The sequence below is a fragment of the Homo sapiens genome, chromosome 11 (assembly GCF_000001405.40).
Source record: "Homo sapiens chromosome 11, GRCh38.p14 Primary Assembly".
NCBI lineage: Eukaryota > Metazoa > Chordata > Mammalia > Primates > Hominidae > Homo > Homo sapiens.
In genome coordinates this window covers 123,025-142,347 of record NC_000011.10, presented here as the reverse complement: position 1 = coordinate 142,347, position 19,323 = coordinate 123,025, and the positions used below count along the sequence as shown (strand labels likewise).

The following is a 19,323-nucleotide window of genomic DNA, read 5'->3' as shown; positions in this document are numbered from 1 at the left end:
GATAGAGTCAGAGTTTCACCGTGTTGGCCAGGCTGGTCTTGAACTCCAGACTTCAGGTGATTTGCCTGCCTTAGCTTCCCAAAGTGCTGCGATTACAAGCATGAGCCACCATGCCCAGCCTGATGCCAGGAGTTTTAGACTAGCCTGGGCAACCTAGCAAGACCTTGTCTCTACAGAATATTTAAAAATTAGCCAAATGTGGTGGTGCCTGTGTATAGTCTCTCTCCCTCTCTCTTTTTTTTTCTAACTTTTTGTGACATGGTCTGGCTCTGTCACCCAGGCTGAAGTGCAGTGGTGTGATCATGGCTCACTGCAGCCTGAAACTCCTGGGATCAAGTGATCAATCCTCCCACCTCATCCTACCAAGTAGTAGGGACCACAGGTGTATGCCACCCAGGTCTTGCTATGTTGTCCAGGCTGGTCTTGAGCTCCTGGCCTCAAGCAATCCTCTCACCTTGGCCCCCCACAGTGCAAGGATTACAGGTATGAGCCACCATGCCTGGCCCCTACCCTGCCTACTGAGAACCAAAGGAAGGATCCAAATTCTCCTTAGCTCAACTCGAGCCATTTCCTGATTGCTTCATCAGCGAGGAGCTGGTTATTGGGCTGTCCAGGCCTCCCAAGCAGCACAGAAATGAGGTGAAGGAGTTTTCCTGTTGCTCCACTCTGTAAGGAGTTGGAGGGTGATGTTTACTCGTTTGCAGAGAGAGATGCCTTGTAGGCACCTCAGGATGGAGAGGGCCCTGATTCCAATGTCCTTTTTTTCTTCAGAAACAGGACCTTGCCCTGTCACTCAGGATGGAGTTCAGTGGTCCTATCATGGCTCATTATAGCCTCAAACTCCCAGGCTCAAGCAATCCTACCATGTCAGCCTTCCCAGTAGCTGGGACTACAGGTAAGCATCGTGACACTCAGTGAATTTTGTTTTTATTTTGTTGTAGAGATGGGACCTCAGTATGTTGCCATGGCTGACCTTGAACTCCTGCACTCAAGGGATTTTCCTACCCTGGCCTCCCAAAGTATTGGTATTACAGGCATGAGCCATTGTGCCCACCGTCTCTGGTTCTTAACCTTCTGCCTCCCTCTTCCAGTTTTAAAGAATGCTTGTAATTACATGGGCTCTCCTAGATACTCCAGGATAATCTTGTTTAAGGTCAGCTGATGAGCAACATTAATTTTATCTGCACTCTTAATTCCCCCTTCCTATGTAATTGTGCTGTGTAACATAGGACATGAGCAATTGGTGGCGGTGGGGGTTATTACTTTGGCCACCACAGTAACTATTTTATGCCAGGTACTCAGCTAAGCACTGGTGAATTAAGCATGAATAACACACACTCCCTAATCTCCATCCATTCATGGGAGGAGCACTTCACCTGCCATGCTCCTGAGAATCTCGGGAGTCATAGAAGTCTTCTATGAGGAGGTGATGCCAAAGCGGACAAGTGACAGAGGAGTCAAAGCTAGCTAGGAAGAGAGTAGAGGTTTAAGGGGAAGCATATTATAAGCAGAGGATATTACCCACTTCAGAGACTCCCAGAGGAGAAAGAGTGTGCGTTCAAGGGGCAGATGAGGCTCAGTTGGACTCCATAGCAGATGAAATGGAGAGGGGCAAGCAGTGAGGCTGCCTTGCAAGGCAGGGCAGAGCAGGGGCTGTTAAGGAGTTTGGACTTAATCCCTGAGGCAAGGAGAAGTGATGTAAATGGGGGAGTAACATGATGAGATTCATAGATTAGAGACATGGCTCAGGCTGCTGTAGAGAAGGCACCAGGAAGAGCAGATGGCTCAATGTGTGTGCAGAAGACCTCTCCCTGAGTTTAGGGAGAGGTTTTTAAAACAGAAGAAGTTTGAGTAATTTAAATGATGATGGGAAGGAGCTAAAAGTGGGGGATAGGTTAAAGATACAGGAAAGTGGGAGGAAGAACTGACAAGTGAGGTTCCAGAGAGGGCAGGAGAAGAGGAGATTCCCATAGGGGGATTAACACTTTCTTTTCTTTTTTCTTTCTAAGACAGGGTCTCACTCTGTCGCCCAGGCTGGAGTGCAGTGGCACAATCTTGGCTCACTGTAGTGTAGACTTCCCAGGCTCAAGGGATTTCTCCCACCCCAGACTCCCAAGTAGCTGGAACTACGGGTGTGCACCACCACCACACCTGGCTAATGTCTCTTTTTTTTGGTAGACACAGAGTCTCACTATGTAGCACTGATTGGTCTCCAACTCCTGGCCTCAAGCGATCCTCCTGCCTAGGCTTCCCAAATTGCTGGGATTACAGGCATGAGCCACAATGCCTGGCCTCTGCTAGTTCCGTATTCTCTAGAGTTGTCTTTACTTTGTGCTAGTGTGTCCCTCATTGTGCTGATCCTCTGTAAAAATTAATACCTTTTTTTTTTTTTTTGAGATGGAGTTTCACTCTTGTTGCCCAGGCTGGAGTGCAATGGTGCTATCTCGGCTCAGCACAACCTCCACCTTCTGGGTTCAAGCAATTCTCCTGCCTCAGCCTCCCGAGTAGTTGGGATTACAGGCATGTGCCACCATGCCCAGCTAATTTTGTATTTTTAGTAGAGATGGGGTTTCTCTGTGCTGGTCAGGCTGGTCTCGAACTCCTGACCTCAGGTGATCTGTCTGCCTTGGCCTCCCAAAGTGCTGGGATTACAGGCATGAGCCATTTTGCCTGGCCAAAATTAATACTTTTTATATTAAATTTACATATATATAGATATACGTTTTTTCTTTTTGATACCGGGTCTCACACTGTCACCGAGGCTGGAGTACAGTGGCACAACCTCTGCTCACTGCAGCCTCCACCTGCCAGGCTCAAGCAATTCTCCTGCCTCAGCCTCCCGAGTAGCTGGGATTACAGGTAAGTGCCACCACACCCAGCTGATTTTTGTGTTTTTTGTAGAGACGAGGTTTCGCCATGTTTCCCAGACTGTTCTCAAACTCCTGAGCTCAAAGCAGTCCACCCACCTTGGCCTCCCAGAGTTCTGGGATTACAGGTGTGAGCCATCTTGCTCATTCTAGTTTAAACTTTTGAGTGGTTTGTGTCTCCTGATTGGACTCCTACAAATACAGAATTGATGCTAGGAAGGGTACCAGGAGATAGACGCACACAGATGGGATTTGGGAATAGGTTTGGTTATCCAAGGAGCAGTGCTGAGCTCCTTGCAATGGGATATGGGATGCTGGTGATTTCCAGGAAGTGAGCTCACAATGACTCAAGCTGCCACATACTGTTGATTGTGAAATGCCAGTTGAAGCATATGTCCTGCGAGCTTAGGGGTGCTACAAGTTGACCACTGCAGCAGTAAAGATGACTCTGAAGAATGGCGTGGGATGGTTCCTTTCAAATGCACTTGAGCAGCGGTCTCCAACCACAGGGCCACAGAGCTGGAGGTGAGCAGCAGGCGAGTGAAGGGAAACTTCATCTGTATTTCTAGCCCCTCCCATCGCTTGCATGACCACCTGAGCTCCATGTCCTGTCAGATCAGCAGCAGCATTAGATTGTCATAGGAGCACAAACTCTGTTGTGAAGTGTGCATGCGAGGGATCTAGGTTGTGTACTCCTTATGAGAATCTAATGCCTGATATTCTGTTACTGTCTCCCATCACCCCAGGTGGACAGTCTAGTTGCAGGAAAACAAGCTCAGAGATCCCACTGAGTCTACGTTATAGTGAGTTGTAGAATCATTTCATTATATATTACTATGTAGTAATAATAGAAATAAAGTGCACAATATATGTAATGCACTTTAATCATCCTGAAATTATTCCCTCATTCCCAGTCTGTGGAAAAATTGTCTTCCACACATTCACTCTGTTTTTTGGTAGAGGCAGGGTCTTAATATATTGCCCAGTCTGATCTCAAACTCCTGGCCTCAAGTAATATACCTCTGTCAGCCTCCCAAAGTGCTGAGATTACAGGCATAAGCCACCACCCTCAACCAAGACTTTCTTAAACCAAATAAAAATTAAGTGAGATTACTTGAGCCCAGGTGGTCAAGGCTGCAGTGAGCCTGATTGCACCACTGCACTCCAGCCTAGGTGACAGAATGAGACTGTCTCAAAAAATAAAATAAAATACAAATTAACCCTTCATGACATTCCCAGTAACTTCCTAAGTGCTCCCCACAAGTCTTTGAATTCTGTTTAATTTTCACATAACATTTAAGACATTTAAGAATTTATGTCTGTCTGTGTCATCCCTTTATGTCAAAAGATGTCTTTTTGTCACTTCCAGCTGGATCTACCATGAAAGACTTGTGAATCCAGGAAGAGAGACTGACTGGGCAACATGTTATTCAGGTACAAAAAGATTTGGACTGTAACTTAAAAATGATCAAATTATGTTTCCCATGCATCAGGTGCAATGGGAAGCTCTTCTGGAGAGTGAGAGAAGCTTCCAGTTAAGGTGACATTGAAGCCAAGTCCTGAAAGATGAGGAAGAGTTGTATGAGAGTTGGGAGGGAAGGGGGAGGTGGAGGGATGGGGAATGGGCCGGGATGGGATAGCGCAAACTGCCCGGGAAGGGAAACCAGCACTGTACAGACCTGAACAACGAAGATGGCATATTTTGTTCAGGGAATGGTGAATTAAGTGTGGCAGGAATGCTTTGTAGACACAGTAATTTGCTTGTATGGAATTTTGCCTGAGAGACCTCATTGCAGTTTCTGATTTTTTGATGTCTTCATCCATCACTGTCCTTGTCAAATAGTTTGGAACAGGTATAATGATCACAATAACCCCAAGCATAATATTTCGTTAATTCTCACAGAATCACATGTAGGTGCCACAGTTATCCCCATTTTATGAATGGAGTGATGAAAACCTTAGGAATAATGAATGATTTGCGCAGGCTCACCTGGATATTAAGACTGAGTCAAATGTTGGGTCTGGTCTGACTTTAATGTTTGCTTTGTTCATGAACACCACATATTGCCTCTCCTATGCAGTTAAGCAGGTAGGTGACAGAAAAGCCCATGTTTGTCTCTACTCACACACTTCCGACTGAATGTATGTATGGAGTTTCTACACCAGATTCTTCAGTGCTCTGGATATTAACTGGGTATCCCATGACTTTATTCTGACACTACCTGGAGTTAGCACAGACCCCACAAGTTAGGGGCTCAGTCCCACGAGGCCATCCTCACTTCAGATGACAATGGCAAGTCCTAAGTTGTCACCATACTTTTGACCAACCTGTTACCAATCGGGCGTTCCCGTAACTGTCTTCTTGGGTTTAATAATTTGCTAGAACAGTTTACGGAACTCAGAAAAACAGTTTATTTTCTTTTTTTCTGAGAGAGAGGGTCTTATTTTGTTGCCCAGGCTGGTGTGCAATGGTGCAGTCATAGCTCATTGCAGCCTTGATTGTCTGGGTTCCAGTGGTTCTCCCACCTCAGCCTCCCTAGTAGCTGAGACTACATGCCTGCACCACCACATCTGGCTAGTTTCTTTTATTTTTTGTATAGATGGGGTCTTGTTGTGTTGGCCAGGCTGGCCACAAATTCCTGGTCTCAAGTGATCCTCCCACCTCAGCCTCTGAAAGTGCTGGGATTACAGATGTGAGCCACCACATCTGGCCAGTTCATTTCCTATTACTGGTTCATTGTGAAGGATACATCTCAGAAACAGTCAATGAAAGAGACGTGCATGCTGGATGCAGTGGCTCATGCCTGTAATCTCAGCACTTTGGGAGGCCAAGGTGGGAGGATCGCTTAAACTCAGGAGTTTGAGACCAGCCTGGGCAACATGGTGAAAACCTGTCTCTATAAAAAATTAAAAAATAATAATAATAACTGGTGTGGTGTTGTGCACCTAGAGTTCCAACTACTAGGGAAGCTGAGATGAGAGGATACCTTGAGCTGGGGACTGGGGAGGCTTAGGTTACAGTAAGCTGAGATTGTGCCACTGCACTCCAGCTTGGACAAAAGAGCCTGATCCTGTCTCAAAAAAAAGAAAGATACCCAGGGCAAGTTAAGTTCGGAGGGGCACAGAGCTCCCATGCCCTCTGTTGAACATGCGACCCTCCCAGCATCTCCTGTGTCCAGCAACCCTGAAAGCTCTGCAAACCCCTTTCAGGGTGTTTATGGAGGCTTTATTATGCAAGCATGATTGATAAAACCTTTGGCTGTTGGTGATTAAGTCAGTCTCCAGCCCCTCTTCCCCCTGGAGTTCAGTGCATGAGGCTGAAAGTTCCAAGCCTCTTACCATGTGGTTGCATGGTAATCAGCCCTCCTCTTGAAGAAATTTAGGAGCTTGCAGTCACCCAGTCATCTCAACAACATCCCCAAATGCATTCTTACCATGCTGGAGATCCCAAAGTTCTTAGAGGCTCTTGTGTTAGAAACCTGGGACCAAGACCAAATATTAAAACAAAAGATGCTCCTGTCACATCTATCACTGAGGTCTTTGTAAGAGCTTTAGAAGCTCTGTGCCAGGAACCAGGGACAGAGATTAAATATATATTTCTTTTCTTTTTTTTGAGACAGAATCTCCCTGTGCCATCCAGGCTGGAGTGCAGTGATGTGATCATAGCTCACTATAGCTTTGGCCTTCTGAGATCAAGCAATCCTCCCATCTCAACCTCCCAAGTAGCTAGGACTACACATGCATGTCACCCATGCCCAGATCATTTTTGTAGAGTCAGAGTTTCACCGTGGTGGCCAGGTTGGCCATGTTGGCCAGATGGGGTCTTCTTTTGTTGCCCAGGCTGGCCACAAATTCCTGGGCTCAAGTTATCCTCCCACCTCGTCCTTGTAGAGATGAGATTTAGTTATGTCGTCCAGGCTGATCTCAAACTCCTGGGCTAAATCGATTGTCTCACCTCAGCCTCTCAAGTATGTTATGAAGGTTATATGTTAGGAAGGGTCCCAGGAGGTAGACCCACACAGATGGGATTTGGGCATAGGTTTGGTTTCCCAGGGGGCAGTGCTGAGCTCTTTGCCAGTGGGAAATGGGATGCTGGTGATTTCCAGTAGGTGACCTCACAGTGACTCAAGCTACCACTTACTGTTGATTGTGACGAAATGCCAGCTGAGGCACATGCCTTGGGAGCTAAGTGGTTGCTGCCCTTGACCACTGTGAAGACTGGTGTGGGAAGGGTCGTTTTGGATGCACTTGAGCAGGGGTCCCCAACCCCTGAGCCATGGAGCCGCAAGGAGCCACACAGCAGGAGGTGAGTGGTGTCGAGTGAGGGAGTGAGGGAAGCTTCGTCTGTATTTACAGCCACTCCCCTTTGCTCACATTCCCGCCTGAGCTCCACCTTCTCAGATGAGCAGCAGCATTAGATGCTCATAGGAGAACGCACCCTGTTGTGAACCGTGCATGTGAGGGATCTAGGTTGCGCTGTCCTTATGAGAGTCTAATACCTATTGATCTGTCACTTTCTCCCATCACGCTCAGGTGGGAACATCCAGTTGCAGGAAAACAAGCTTAACACGCCCACTGATTCTACATTATGGTGAGTTCTATAATTATTTTATTATATATCACAGTGTAATAATGGAAATAAAGTGCCTAATAAATGCAAATGTGCTTACATCTTTTGGCCCAGCTCCTACCTCCCGGCAGCCTCTCCAGGCCCAGAACTTTCTCCAGTCAGCCTCTACAGACCAAGCTCATGACTCACAATGGCCTATTTAGGCCCATACCCTACGTCACGGCAGCCTCCGCAGATGAGGCTACTGCCTCACAACAGCCTCCACAGGCACAGCTCCATCGTTACAATGGCCTCTTTAGACCCAGCTCCTGCCTCCCAGCCTTCTCTCCAGGCCCTGAACATTCTCAGTAAGTTCAGGTAGCTGGGACTGTAGGTATACATGATGATACTTGGCTAATTTTTAAATTGTTTTGTAGACACGGGGTCTCACTTTGTTGGCCAGGCTGGTGTCAAACTAATGGCCTCAAGTGACCCTTCCACCCCTGCCTCCCATCCTCGAGGCATGTGCCACCACAAGGAGCACTTGTTCAATTTTCTAAAAAAAAAATTTCTAAAGTAAGGCTGTGGGATGATGGCAGGAAGATAAAAGAAAAACAGAAGAATAAGTTAAAATGACTTATTCACACATATTCTTTTGACAGCAAGAAGAACTTTTAGTATGTACATTCCTTACAAACAAACAAAAGGCAGATAAACAATGTTGTATAGGAACTTCAACACACACTGTACAATATTCCCACTTTGCTGACATAAGTTATGGAAATTTCATGGTTTACTTGAGTGTCCCTACCAGTATTTTGCTTCTCTGATGATTTTTATCAACTTCCTCATCTGTTAACTTCTCTCCAAGGTATGTCATGTCACGACATACTGCCGCTGCACGAACATGGCCAGTGTCTTCCTATTCAACATGTAGAATGCTTTCCTAATTTCTCTTTTTACTCTCTGTCTTTGTGTTCTGCATTTTCCTTACTTTTATTGTCAGAAACTCCAGAAAGTCAATCGTACTAATTTATCACGATTTGCTTTATTAATTTATACTTTGCTTATATGGAATTTTGCCCAGCAGACCTCATCACAGTTTCTAACCTGTTTTATTTTTTATTTTTTATTTTTTTTTGTTCTGAGACAGGGTCTCCCTCTGTTGTCCAAGGCTGGAGTGTAGTAGTGCTATCGCAGCTGACTGCAGCCTCAACCTTCCAGGCTGAAGCGATCCTCCCACCTCAACCTCCCACGTGGCTGAGACTACAGGTGCTTGCCACTATGCCCAACTAATATTTGGAATTTTCGTATACGTGGATTCCAGAGGGGTGACAGCGAAACGTGAGTAAGCATGGATTTTGGTATATGCAGAGATGGGGGGCTGGAACTAATTCTGTATACTGAGGGACGACGACTGTATATGTTTTTACAATTACGCTGTAGGATACATACTGTTGCATAGCCTTGAAAATAATAATTTTTAATTGAGTGGAATAAGAATAATATTGATAAAAGTAGCAGCTGGCCAGGTGTGGTGGCTCACACTGGTAATCGCAACACTTTGGGAGGCTGAGGCAGGAGGATGGCTCGAGGCCAAGAGTTTGCGATAGGCCTTGGAAACAAAGGGGGAGTCACCATCCCTACAGAAAAATACATGAATTAGCCTAGTGTGGTGGCATGTTCCTGTAGTCCCAGCTACTTGGGAGGCTGAGGTGGGAGGATCACTTGAGCCCAGGGAGGCTGAGACTGCAGTGAGTCATGATCAGGCCTCTGCACTCCAGCCTGGGTGACAGAGTGAGACCCTGTCTCAAAACAACAAAAAAGTAGCAGCCAACATCAACTGACCTTTTGTACCAGGTGCCTATTGATACCATAGTTTAATTTCTTATAACTGTTTCTTATTTCACTTACCAACTCTGTCTTCAGTTACTCCCAGATTTTTACTGTGTGTGTACAGATGACCTTTTGTTTAGACTGAATTGTCTCCCCAGAAGTAAGATTACTGTGAGTCATGGTGAATGGACATTCTCCTTACCCTTGATGTAAATTGACAGGGTTTTGGGTGCCTCCCAGCTATAATCTTAGCACTTTGGGAGGCTAAGAGAGGAGGATTGCTTGAGGCCAAGAGTTGGAGGAGGCAGTATGGCAGTATGGTGAGACCCTGTCTCCATTATTTTAAAAAATTGACAGGCTTTACCCGGGAAGGCTTATACACAATTTAACCACCTCTCATAGTATAAGAAAGTGCCCATTTCACTGCACCTTTGCCAGCACAGGGTATTATAATTTAGTAAGTCATTTTTTGTTTGATTATTTTAAATAGACAAAAGACCTCATGTTACTTTACTTGTCACATTTCAACATCTTTCCTCAGCTTATTAGCTCTATTTCTTTTCTGTCTGTAAATGGTTGTTGTTGTTTTGTTCTTTGAGACAGGGTCTTGCTCTGTCACCAGGCTGGACTGTAGTGGCATAATCATGCCTCACTGCAGCCTTGACCTCCCAGGCTCAAACTTCCGCATTCCGAGTAGCTGGGACTGCAAGTGTGCACTACCACCACCAGCTAACTTTTTTCTTCTTTTGGATAGAGACAGGGTCTCACTCTGTTGTCCAGACCGGTCTCTAGCTCCTGGCCTTAAGCAATCCTCCTGCATTAGCTTCTCAAATTGCTGGAATTTCAGGCCTGAGCCACCATGCCTGGCCTGGGCTAGTCCTATATTCTCTAGAGTTCTCTTTACTTTGTGCTAGCCAATCTCTCATTATGCTGTTCACCTGTTATAATGAATAATTCTCTGTATTAAATTTTACCACTTTAAACTTTTGAGTGGTTTATGCTTCCTGATTGGACTCTGACTAATATGTTAGGAAGGGTCCCAGGAGATACACCCACACAGATGGGATTTGGGCATAGGTTTGGTTTCCCAGGGGGCAGCGCTGAGCTCTTTGCCAGTGGGAAATGGGATGCTGGTGATTTCCAGTAGGTGACCTCACAGTGACTCAAGCTACCACTTACTGTTGATTGTGACGAAATGCCAGCTGAGGCACATGCCTTGGGAGCTAAGTGGTTGCTGCCCTTGACCACTGTGAAGACTGGTGTGGGAAGGGTCGCTTTGGATGCACTTGAGCAGGGGTCCCCAACCCCTGAGCCATGGAGCCGCAAGGAGCCACACAGCAGGAGGTGAGCGGTGTCGAGTGAGGGAGTGAGGGAAGCTTCGTCTGTATTTACAGCCACTCCCCTTTGCTCACATTCCCGCCTGAGCTCCACCTTCTCAGATGAGCAGCAGCGTTAGATTCTCATAGGAGAACGCACCCTGTTGTGAACCGTGCATGTGAGGGATCAAGGTTGCGCCGTCCTTATGAGAATCTAATACCTATTGATCTGTTACTTTCTCCCATCACGCTCAGGTGGGACCATCCAGTTGCAGGAAAACAAGCTTAACACGCCCACTGATTCTACATTATGGTGAGTTCTATGATTATTTTATTATATATTACAGTGTAATAATGGAAATAAAGTGCCTAATAAATGCAAATGTGCTTACATCTTTTGGCCCAGCTCCTACCTCCCGGCAGCCTCTCCAGGCCCAGAACTTTCTCCAGTCAGCCTCTACAGACCAAGATCATGACTCACAATGGCCTATTTAGGCCCATACCCTACGTCACGGCAGCCTCCACAGATGAGGCTACTGCCTCACAACAGCCTCCACAGGCACAGCTCCATCGTTACAATGGCCTCTTTAGACCCAGCTCCTGCCTCCCAGCCTTCTCTCCAGGCCCTGAACTTTCTCAAGTCGACCTCACCAGGCCCAGGTCATGCTTCTTTGCAGCCTCTCCAGGCCCAGCTCCTGCATCTTGGTGGCCCCTCCAGGCCCAGCCTCTGCCTCCCGTCAGCCTCTACAGTCCCAACGTCTGCCTCACAGCAGATTCTTCACGCCCAGCATCTACCTCACTGTGGACCCCCCAAGCCAAGCTCCCAACCTTTCAGCAGCTTCTACACACCCAGCTCCTGCCACCCAGTGGCCTCTTTAGGCCAAGCTCATGCTTCACAAGGGCCTTTCCAGGCCCAACTTTTGTCTCATGGCAACCTTCCCTGGCCAGATTCCTGCCTGTCTCCCAGCAGCCTAGACAGGCCCAGGTCTTGCCTCACACTGGCCTCTCTACATCCAGCTTATGCCTCACGGTGGCCTCTCCACGCCCAACTCCTGTCCCAGGACGTCATCTCCGGGCCCAAAACTTACTCAAGTCAGACTCTCTAGTCCCAACTACTGCCTCCTGGTGGCCTATGAAGGCCCAAAATCTCCTCAAGTTGACCTGTCCAGGCCCAGCTCCTGCCTCCTGTCAGCGTCTACAGGCCCAACCTCTGCCTCATGGGGGCTTCTCCAGACCCACCTCTTCCTCTTGGCTGGGTCTACAGGCACAACTGCTGCCTCACAACAGCCTTTTTTGGCCCAGTTCCTGTCCAGCTCATGGCGGCCAATGTAGGCCCAAAACTTCCTCAAGTCAAACTCTCCAGGCCCACCTTCTGCTTCCCGGTGGCATCAACAGGCCCAGCTTTGACTTGAGAACAGCCTCTGCAGGCCCTGCTCTTGCCTCCCAGGGGCTTTTTCCAGGCCCAGCTCTTGCCTCATGGCAGCTGCCCCAGGCCAAATTTCTGCCTGCCTGCCAGCAGCCTCAACAGGCACAGCTCCTCCCTCACAGTGGCCCATTTAGGCCCAACTCATGACTGTGAGGCCATTTCCAGGCCTAGTGCCTGCCTCGTGGCTGACTCTTGAAGCCCAAAACTTCCTCAAATCAGGCTTTTGCCCAACTTCTGTCTACTGTCGGACTCTACAGGTCAGCCTCTGCCTCACAGTGGACCCTCCAGACCCAGATGGTGTCTCACTGTGGCATCCTCAGGCGAAGCTCCTGCCTTTTGGCAGCCTCTCCAGGCCCAGCTCCTCCTGCCTCCCAGTGGCCTCTTTCGGCCCAGCCCAGCTCATGCCTCCCGGCGGCCTTCCCAAGCCCCGCTTTTGACTTTCGGTGGCCTCTGCAGGCCTCGACAAGGCCCAGCCTCCTGCCTCCCGAAGGCCTGCACAGGCCCAGCCTCTGCCTCACAGCGGACTCTCCACGCCCAGCTAGCTGTTGCTTCACTGCGGCCTCCCGAGTCCAAAGCTCCTGCCTCTCGGCCGCTTCGGCAGGCCCAGCTCCCGCCTGCCAGTGGCCTCTTCAGGCCCATGGGGCTCATTCCTGACAACGGCCTTTCCAGGCCCAGTTTTTCCCTTCCGGCGGCCTCTCCGGGCCCAGAACCTCCTCAAGTCGGCCTCTCCAGACCCACTTGCACCCTCCGTGCATTCTCTCCGGGCCCAGCTCTTCTTCCTGGTTGGGTCTCCAGGCCCGATTCCTGCCTCTCAACAACCTCTTTGGACTCAGTGCCTACCCATCTCCTGGCGGCCTTGGTCGGCCCACAGCTTCCTCAAGCCAAGCTCCCCAGGCCCAGGTCAGGCCTCACGGTGGCCTCTCCAGGATGAGCTCCTGCCCTCCGATGGCATCTCCAGGCCCCAAATGGTCTCCGGTCGGTGGGCTCCTCCACGCCAAGGTTGGGCCTCCCGGCGACTGCCGCAGGCCCAAGTTGTCCTGAAGTCGGGCTCTCCCGGCCCTGCCTCCCAGCAAGTAAGCAAGCTCTTTTGGCTCAACTCCTGCCCAGCTCCCAACCGCCTTTGTAGGCCCCGAACTTTCTCCAGCCAAGCTCTGAGGGCCCACCTCCTGCCTCCTGGTGGCCTGTACAGTTCTAGCACTGGTTGGAGAACAGCCTCTGCAGGCCCCGCCCTTGCCTCCCAGGGGCCTCTCCAGGCCCAGCTCTTGCCCCCACGGCGGCCTCTCGGGGCCAAGTCCCTGCCTGCCTCCCAGCAGCCCGCGTGCGGCCCAGCTCCTCCCTCACGGTGGCCTGTTGATGCCCAACTCATGCCTCTGGCACCCTGCCCAGAGGCGTGAGCCCCTGCCTCACACTGGCTCCTCCCACGCTGAGAGAGGTCAGTGTGAGCCCTTGCCTCACCCCGGCCCCTCCCACGCGGACAGAGGTCAGCGTGAGCCCCTTGCCTCACACCGGCCCCTCCCACGCTGAGAGAGGTCAGTGTGAGCCCTTGCCTCACACCGGCCCCTCCCACGCGGACAGAGGTCAGCGTGAGCCCCTTGCCTCACACCGGCCCCTCCCACGCTGAGAGAGGTCAGCCCGAGCCCCTTGTCTCACACCGGCCCCTCCCATGCTGAGAGAGGTCAGTGTGAGCCCTTGCCTCACACCGGCCCCTCCCACGCTGAGAGAGGTCAGTGTGAGCCCCTTGTCTCACACCGGCCCCTCCCACGCGGACAGAGGTCAGCGTGAGCCCCTTGCCTCACACCGGCCCCTCCCACGCTGAGAGAGGTCAGCCTGAGCCCTTGCCTCACACCAGCCCCTCCCACGCGGAGAGAGGTCAGCGTGAGCCCCTTGCCTCACCCCGGCCCCTCCCACGCTGAGAGAGGTCAGCGTGACCCCCTGCCTCAACAGGCCACCGTGAGGGAGGAACAGGATCGCACTCGGGCTGCTGGGAGGTAGGCAGGGACTTGGGCCTGGGAGGTCGCGGTGGGGCGAGAGCTGGGCCTGGAGACTCCCCTGGGAGGCAACAGCGGGGTCTGCAGACGCCCTTCTCCAGCCGGAGCTGGGACTGTTCAGTCACTGGGAGAAGGGATGTGGGTCTGAAGAGCTTGGTTGCAGAAACTTTGGGGTCTACAAACGCAGGCGGGAGCTGAGCCAAAAGAGCTTGTTTGCTGGGAGGTGGGAGATGCAGCCAGGAGGAACAGCTGGGCAATGCGGGAGGCAGAGGCCAGGCCTCCTCAAGTTGGCCTCTCAGACCCACTTGCAGCCTCCCGGCGCCCCCTCCGGGCCCAGCTCTTCCTCCCGGCTGCATCTCCAGGCCGGACTCTGGCCCGACTCCAGGTCCCAACAACGTCTTTGGACTCAGCTCCTGCCCAGCTCCCAGCGGCCCTGGTAGGCCCACAACTTCCCTAAGCCAAGCTCCCCAGGCCCAGCTCAGGCCTCGCGGTGGCCTCTCCAGGCTCAGCTCCTGGCCCTCCGATGACATCTGCAGGCCCCAAATGGCCTCCGGTCGGTGGGCTCCTCTAGGCCCAGCTTGGGCCTCCCGGCGGCCTCCGCAGGCCCAAATCGTCCCGAAGTCAGTCTCTCCAGGCTTAGCTCCAGCCTCCCGGCGGCCTCTGCAGGCCCAAGTCGTCCTCAAGTCGGCCTGGAAGTGGGCCTGGAAGAGCAGCAAGTCGGCCTCCCTGGGCCCAGCTCCGTCCTCTCGACGGCCTCTCCAGGTGCAAAACTTCCTCGAGTCAGCCTCTCCAGGCCCAGCTCCTCCTGCCTCCCAGTGGCCTCTTTCGGCCCAGCCCAGCTCATGGCTCTCGGCGGCCTTCCCAGGCCCCGCTTTTGAGTTTTGGCAGCCTCTTCAGGCGCAGAACTTGATCTCCAGTCGGCCTTTGCAGGCCCGGCCTCCTGCCTCTCGAAGGCCTGCACGGGCCCGGCCTCGGCCTCGGCCTCACAGCGGACTCTCCACGCCCAGCTAGCTCTCGCCTCACTGCGGCCTCCCCAGTCCAAAGCTCCTGCCTTTCGGCCACTTCGGCAGGTCCAGCTCCTGCCTGCCAGTGGCCTCTTTAGGCCCAGCTCATTCCTCACGTCGGCCATTCCAGGCCCCGTTTTTCCCTTCCGGCAGCCTCTTGGCCTCTAATTTGTTTATCTTTTGTGTATAAATCCCAAAATATTGAATTTTGGAATATTTCCACCATTATGTAAATGTTTTGGTAGGTAATTTATTTGGAGTGAGTTTCTGCGCCAAGCCCGAATTTTTTATTTTATTTTCCTTATTATTTGGTGTTAAACAGGTTTAATGACGGTCATGGCAACTTTTTGGCACAATGAAAAATATCGCCCACGATCAACGTGTTCTGTTCTGGGGAAGGGGGCAAAGGCAGGGTGAATCACTTTCTTAAAAAGTATAGCTCAAGTTGGGAGTGCAGAGGGAATGGGGAGAAAACCCTCCCGCTGCCTGTGTCGAAGTGCAGGAGCCCCCACCCCCATACTCACCTGAGTCCAGCCCCTCTGGGGAAAGAAGGGGTGCATGAACTCCCCCTAGTCCACAGGCGCCTCCCTGTGGCCCAAGGCCCTCTTCACACTCCATCTTGTAGCCCCAGCAGGAGCTATTTTCCGAAAAGTGAAAAGCTCTGAAGGTCCCACAATTCATGGTATGTACAGGGGCTCGGAGGAGGGAAACTGCCCAGCTTTCCCCCGGCACAGCTGCAGGGGTAGGGGGTATAGATAAGAGGAGCAGGCCTTGGCCAGGCGTGGTGGCTCACGCCTGTAATCCCAGCACTTTGGGAGGGGGAGGCAGGCAGATCACGATGTCAGGAGATCGAAATCAGCCTGGCCAAGATGATGAAGCCCCGTCTGTACTAAAAATACAAAAATTAGCCGGACGTGGTAGCGTCCACCTGTAATCCTAGCTACCCGGAAGGCTGAGGCAGGAGAATGGCGTGAACCCGGCGGGAAGAGGTTGCAGTGAGCCAAGATCGCACCACTGCACTCCAGCCTGGGCAACAGAGCAAGACTCGGTCTCAAAAAAAAAAAAAAAAAAAAAAAAAAAAAAAAAAAAAGAGGAAGGCCTTACTCCGTTCCAAACTGAAAGGATTAAATGGCTTCACCTGGGAGAAGATAACCATCCTGCCCTCCATTGCTACCCCCACATACTGTCCATGTTCTCAGGGGGTACTGTGAGTCCTGGGATCTTTGGGGTTGCCCACCTGCCTGTGGTAGTTATGGAGACCCCCAGGTGTTGAGGCAGGGCTGGGGTGTCCCCTTCCAACCAGGCTGTCAAGGCCCCAACTCTGGGGCAGAGGCAGTGGCAGGGCAGCCAGGGTTGTGCCAGAGCCTGAGCAGGTTGAGGTGGGGTCAGGCAGGGCTGGGAGTCAGGGCAGGGGCAGCAGCAGTGGACCCGCTATGCACACATCTTCTTCTCCAAGGTTTGTGTGCAGAACATCCTGCCCATGCTGCCCCAGCAGCTTCAGTTGGCACCTGCCTCAGTCCAGCCTCTGGGAACCATGCAGCAGCTCCCAGCGGCCCTGCACCCACCACCAGCATCCGTTTCACCTGCAGTTGAAGATCCGTGAGGTGCCCAGAAGATCATGCAGTCATCAGTCCCACGGAGCAGCCTGCGAGGCTGAGGCTCCTCCCACTGGACCGCCCCCCAACTGGCACCACTGCTGCCCCTGCCCCTACTCTCAGCTTCACGTGACTCTCGGGCAGAAGCAGTGGTGGGGCAGCCAGGGCAGCGTCAAGAGTCTGAGCCAGGTGAGGTGCGGTCAGGACCCCCACAGGGCTGGGAGTCAGGGCAGGGGCAGAACAAACCTTGGAGGGGAGGATGTGTGCATAGTGGGCCTGGAGGGCGGCTGTGGCCTAGTGGACAGGAAGAAGCAGTGGGCCTGGAAGAGCTGCATGATCAGGGCCGGCACTGGTCCAGGGTACGTGCAGTGAAGAGGACAGCGCCTTCTCGGTCTCCGGTTCCCTGAGCCTGTCCTCGGCTTCTCCACCTGTATAGGCAAAGGGGAAGCTGTCCCCATCACACATGGCACACTTGGGGGTGTTGGGCTTTGGACTGCAGCTGGAGCATCTTCTCATCTTGCATTTGGGCGCGGTGGGGTCCTCCAGTGTGGGATCCATGTCCGTGGGGTTCCCTCTGCCCCGACCCCGAAAGCCCAGTCAGTTTCTCTTCAGGCTCTGCCCCCCGGGTGGCTCAGCCCAGCTCCTGCCTAGGAAAGCCTTAGTGTTGGGAGGGACCCTGATGACTGAGGAGCCTGGTAGCTCCAGGTCGCCCACACTTTCAGGTCTCTTGCACCAGAAGGTGGCAGGATCCATTGGGAGGAAACAGGCCACCTTGGAAGGCGTCCCTGGGCCCCCATCCCCAGGGGTTGGGGCCGTAGGGGGCCCGCTCTGCTGCGTTGACCAGACTCCTGGGCTTTGAAGGCTCCTGGGCCCAGTAAGAAGGAGGTGGGTGCCAAGGTTGAGGAGGAAGCATCCGAGTATGTGTAGGAGGAGGACAGGGTGTGACCATAGACTGCCAAAAGCTGCAGGTGGATCGGGGGACCCTGGGGGCTCAGGATCCAGCAAGGGGCGGCAGGAGTAAAGGAGGAAGGAATGACAGGTGCAAATACCTTCCCACCAAAGCCCTTGTTGCCCTCTGGCTCCTCCCCAGAGCTGTCCCCACTCTCAGTCGGTCACCCACTCCTTGAACTTGAGATCGGTGTCGGTGGTGCTAAAGCCATCATCAGCAATGACATCATCACCCCCTCCTCCTCATGGATGACCGTGTGCTCTTCGTCACTCGCTATGACCTCGCTGGCCATGTGCTGGGAATGAGCAGCTCACGTGGGCGGCAGCAGGGCTGCCCACGGGTCACCTCCCTCACCAGGGGCTGCAAAGTGGCCTGGAGCTCCATGCTGAGTAGAAGGCTTTGGGCCAGAGTATGATGCAGTGCCAGACACCACCTGTGTCAGTTCCCGTAGTGCCTGACGGTCTATTTCCCTGCCGTCCAGGCTGTGTACCCCGCTGTGGGAGAAGGCTTGGGCCAGGCTGAGCCAGGTTCCCTGACTGTGTGCAGCCGTTCTGCCCCACAGAAGCTGCTCCTTGGCATCCGAGCTCTGGAGTGTTTGGGCTGCAACTGACAGGAGTTCAGAGGACGCCCCAGGGGCAGTGGCAGTGCCCGTCTCTGATATGCTCCGCTCCCACGAGCCCTTGTTACACTCCTGCTAGCCCCTGGCTTGTGGGCTTGGCCTCTGAGCTGGACTTCTTTCGGTCCTTGTTGCAAGTGGGCCACCTTCACCTGGAAGGCCAGGTTGTATTTCTGCATCTCATTGGGCCCCAGGGTGTACCACCGCTCGCTCAGCATCTGGCTGACGGTCCGGTTATCCTGGTTGGGGTGACCCTGGTGCGCCCCGCCAGGGCCTGGTGCCGCCTGCTGAAGATCATGAGCGCCACTCATGGGCCACCGGATGTGGTACTTGTCTGATTTGTTGGGGCTGCGTCCATCCTTCTCAGAAGATGAGTCCTGTTCCTTGCGCAGGGCACTGAGGGACTGGGCCTGACATCATCTGAGTGGTAGAGGCAACTGGGTGTCAGGAGACATGATGGAGAGGAAAGCATCATCATGGTCATTCTCTGTCTCACTGTCCAGCAGGGACTCCCCTGAGGGGCCCAGGGCTCCTCCTCCATGGTGGGAGGTGAGGTTTTACCAGGTTCCACCACCCCCAAAGTGTGTGGGGTTGCGGGCCCTGGGCTTTCAGGGCAGGTGGCTCCAGGGGGCCGCCCAGGGTCAACACTCCCTGTCCCACCTGGTGGACGCTCATGAGCAACAGCTGCCAACTTGGCAGGTTGTTTTCTCTGGTTGGAGGCCACTGAGTGACTGGCAGGTTGCTGGGCCTCGTGTGGCTGCAGGGAGGGGTCAGGAAGGCGATGGAGTACCAGGAGAACACGGCCGCAGAGTGACCTTCCACATTCCTCCACACGAACATGCTGACGCCACGGGAGGCCTCACTGAACGCAGGCCTGGGGGCCGAGCACTTGGTCCGGGCGGGGGGTTCCTGGCAGGGGCTCACACCTCCTCACCCCCTCCTCAGCCAAGGTGGCTTGGGCCCAGAGAAGGGGAGGTTGGAGAGGAGCAGAAGGCCAGGCCTCAAGTTTTGTTTTTTTTGTTTGTTTTGTTTTTTGTTTTTGAAATGTAGTTTGACTCTTGTCACCCAGGCTGGAGTGCAGTGGCACGATATCAGTGGCCTTCATACCTGGCTAATTTTTTGTATTTTTACTGGAGGTGGGGTTTTGCCATGTTGGCCAGGCTGGTCTTGACCTCCC

At 52.5% G+C, this 19,323-nt stretch overlaps 1 long non-coding RNA gene and 1 pseudogene across 2 annotated transcripts, besides 1 other annotated feature; one reads left to right on the top strand and one right to left on the bottom strand.

Moving 5' to 3' along the window:
* The first annotated feature begins 3,230 nt into the window (after positions 1-3,230).
* Positions 3,231-15,214, top strand: LINC01001 (long intergenic non-protein coding RNA 1001). Of its 2 annotated transcripts, NR_146389.1 has the most exons (7): positions 3,231-3,392; positions 4,237-4,301; positions 7,401-7,458; positions 7,552-7,784; positions 8,570-8,760; positions 10,824-10,881; positions 10,975-15,214. It is a non-coding gene; the product is annotated as a long intergenic non-protein coding RNA 1001 (long non-coding RNA). The 2 variants fall into 2 exon arrangements; NR_028326.2 differs by lacking the exons at positions 3,231-3,392; positions 4,237-4,301; positions 7,401-7,458; positions 7,552-7,784; positions 8,570-8,760 and adding an exon at positions 10,495-10,596.
* Positions 14,957-15,460: an enhancer, noted in NCBI's record as "H3K27ac-H3K4me1 hESC enhancer chr11:126888-127391 (GRCh37/hg19 assembly coordinates)". NCBI's record gives its function as "activates a minimal SCP1, AML or CMV promoter by ChIP-STARR-seq in primed H9 embryonic stem cells {active_cell/tissue: H9 hESC(primed)}" and the evidence as "EXISTENCE:reporter gene assay evidence [ECO:0000049][PMID:30033119]".
* CICP23 (capicua transcriptional repressor pseudogene 23) lies at positions 15,298-19,076 on the bottom strand (annotated as a pseudogene).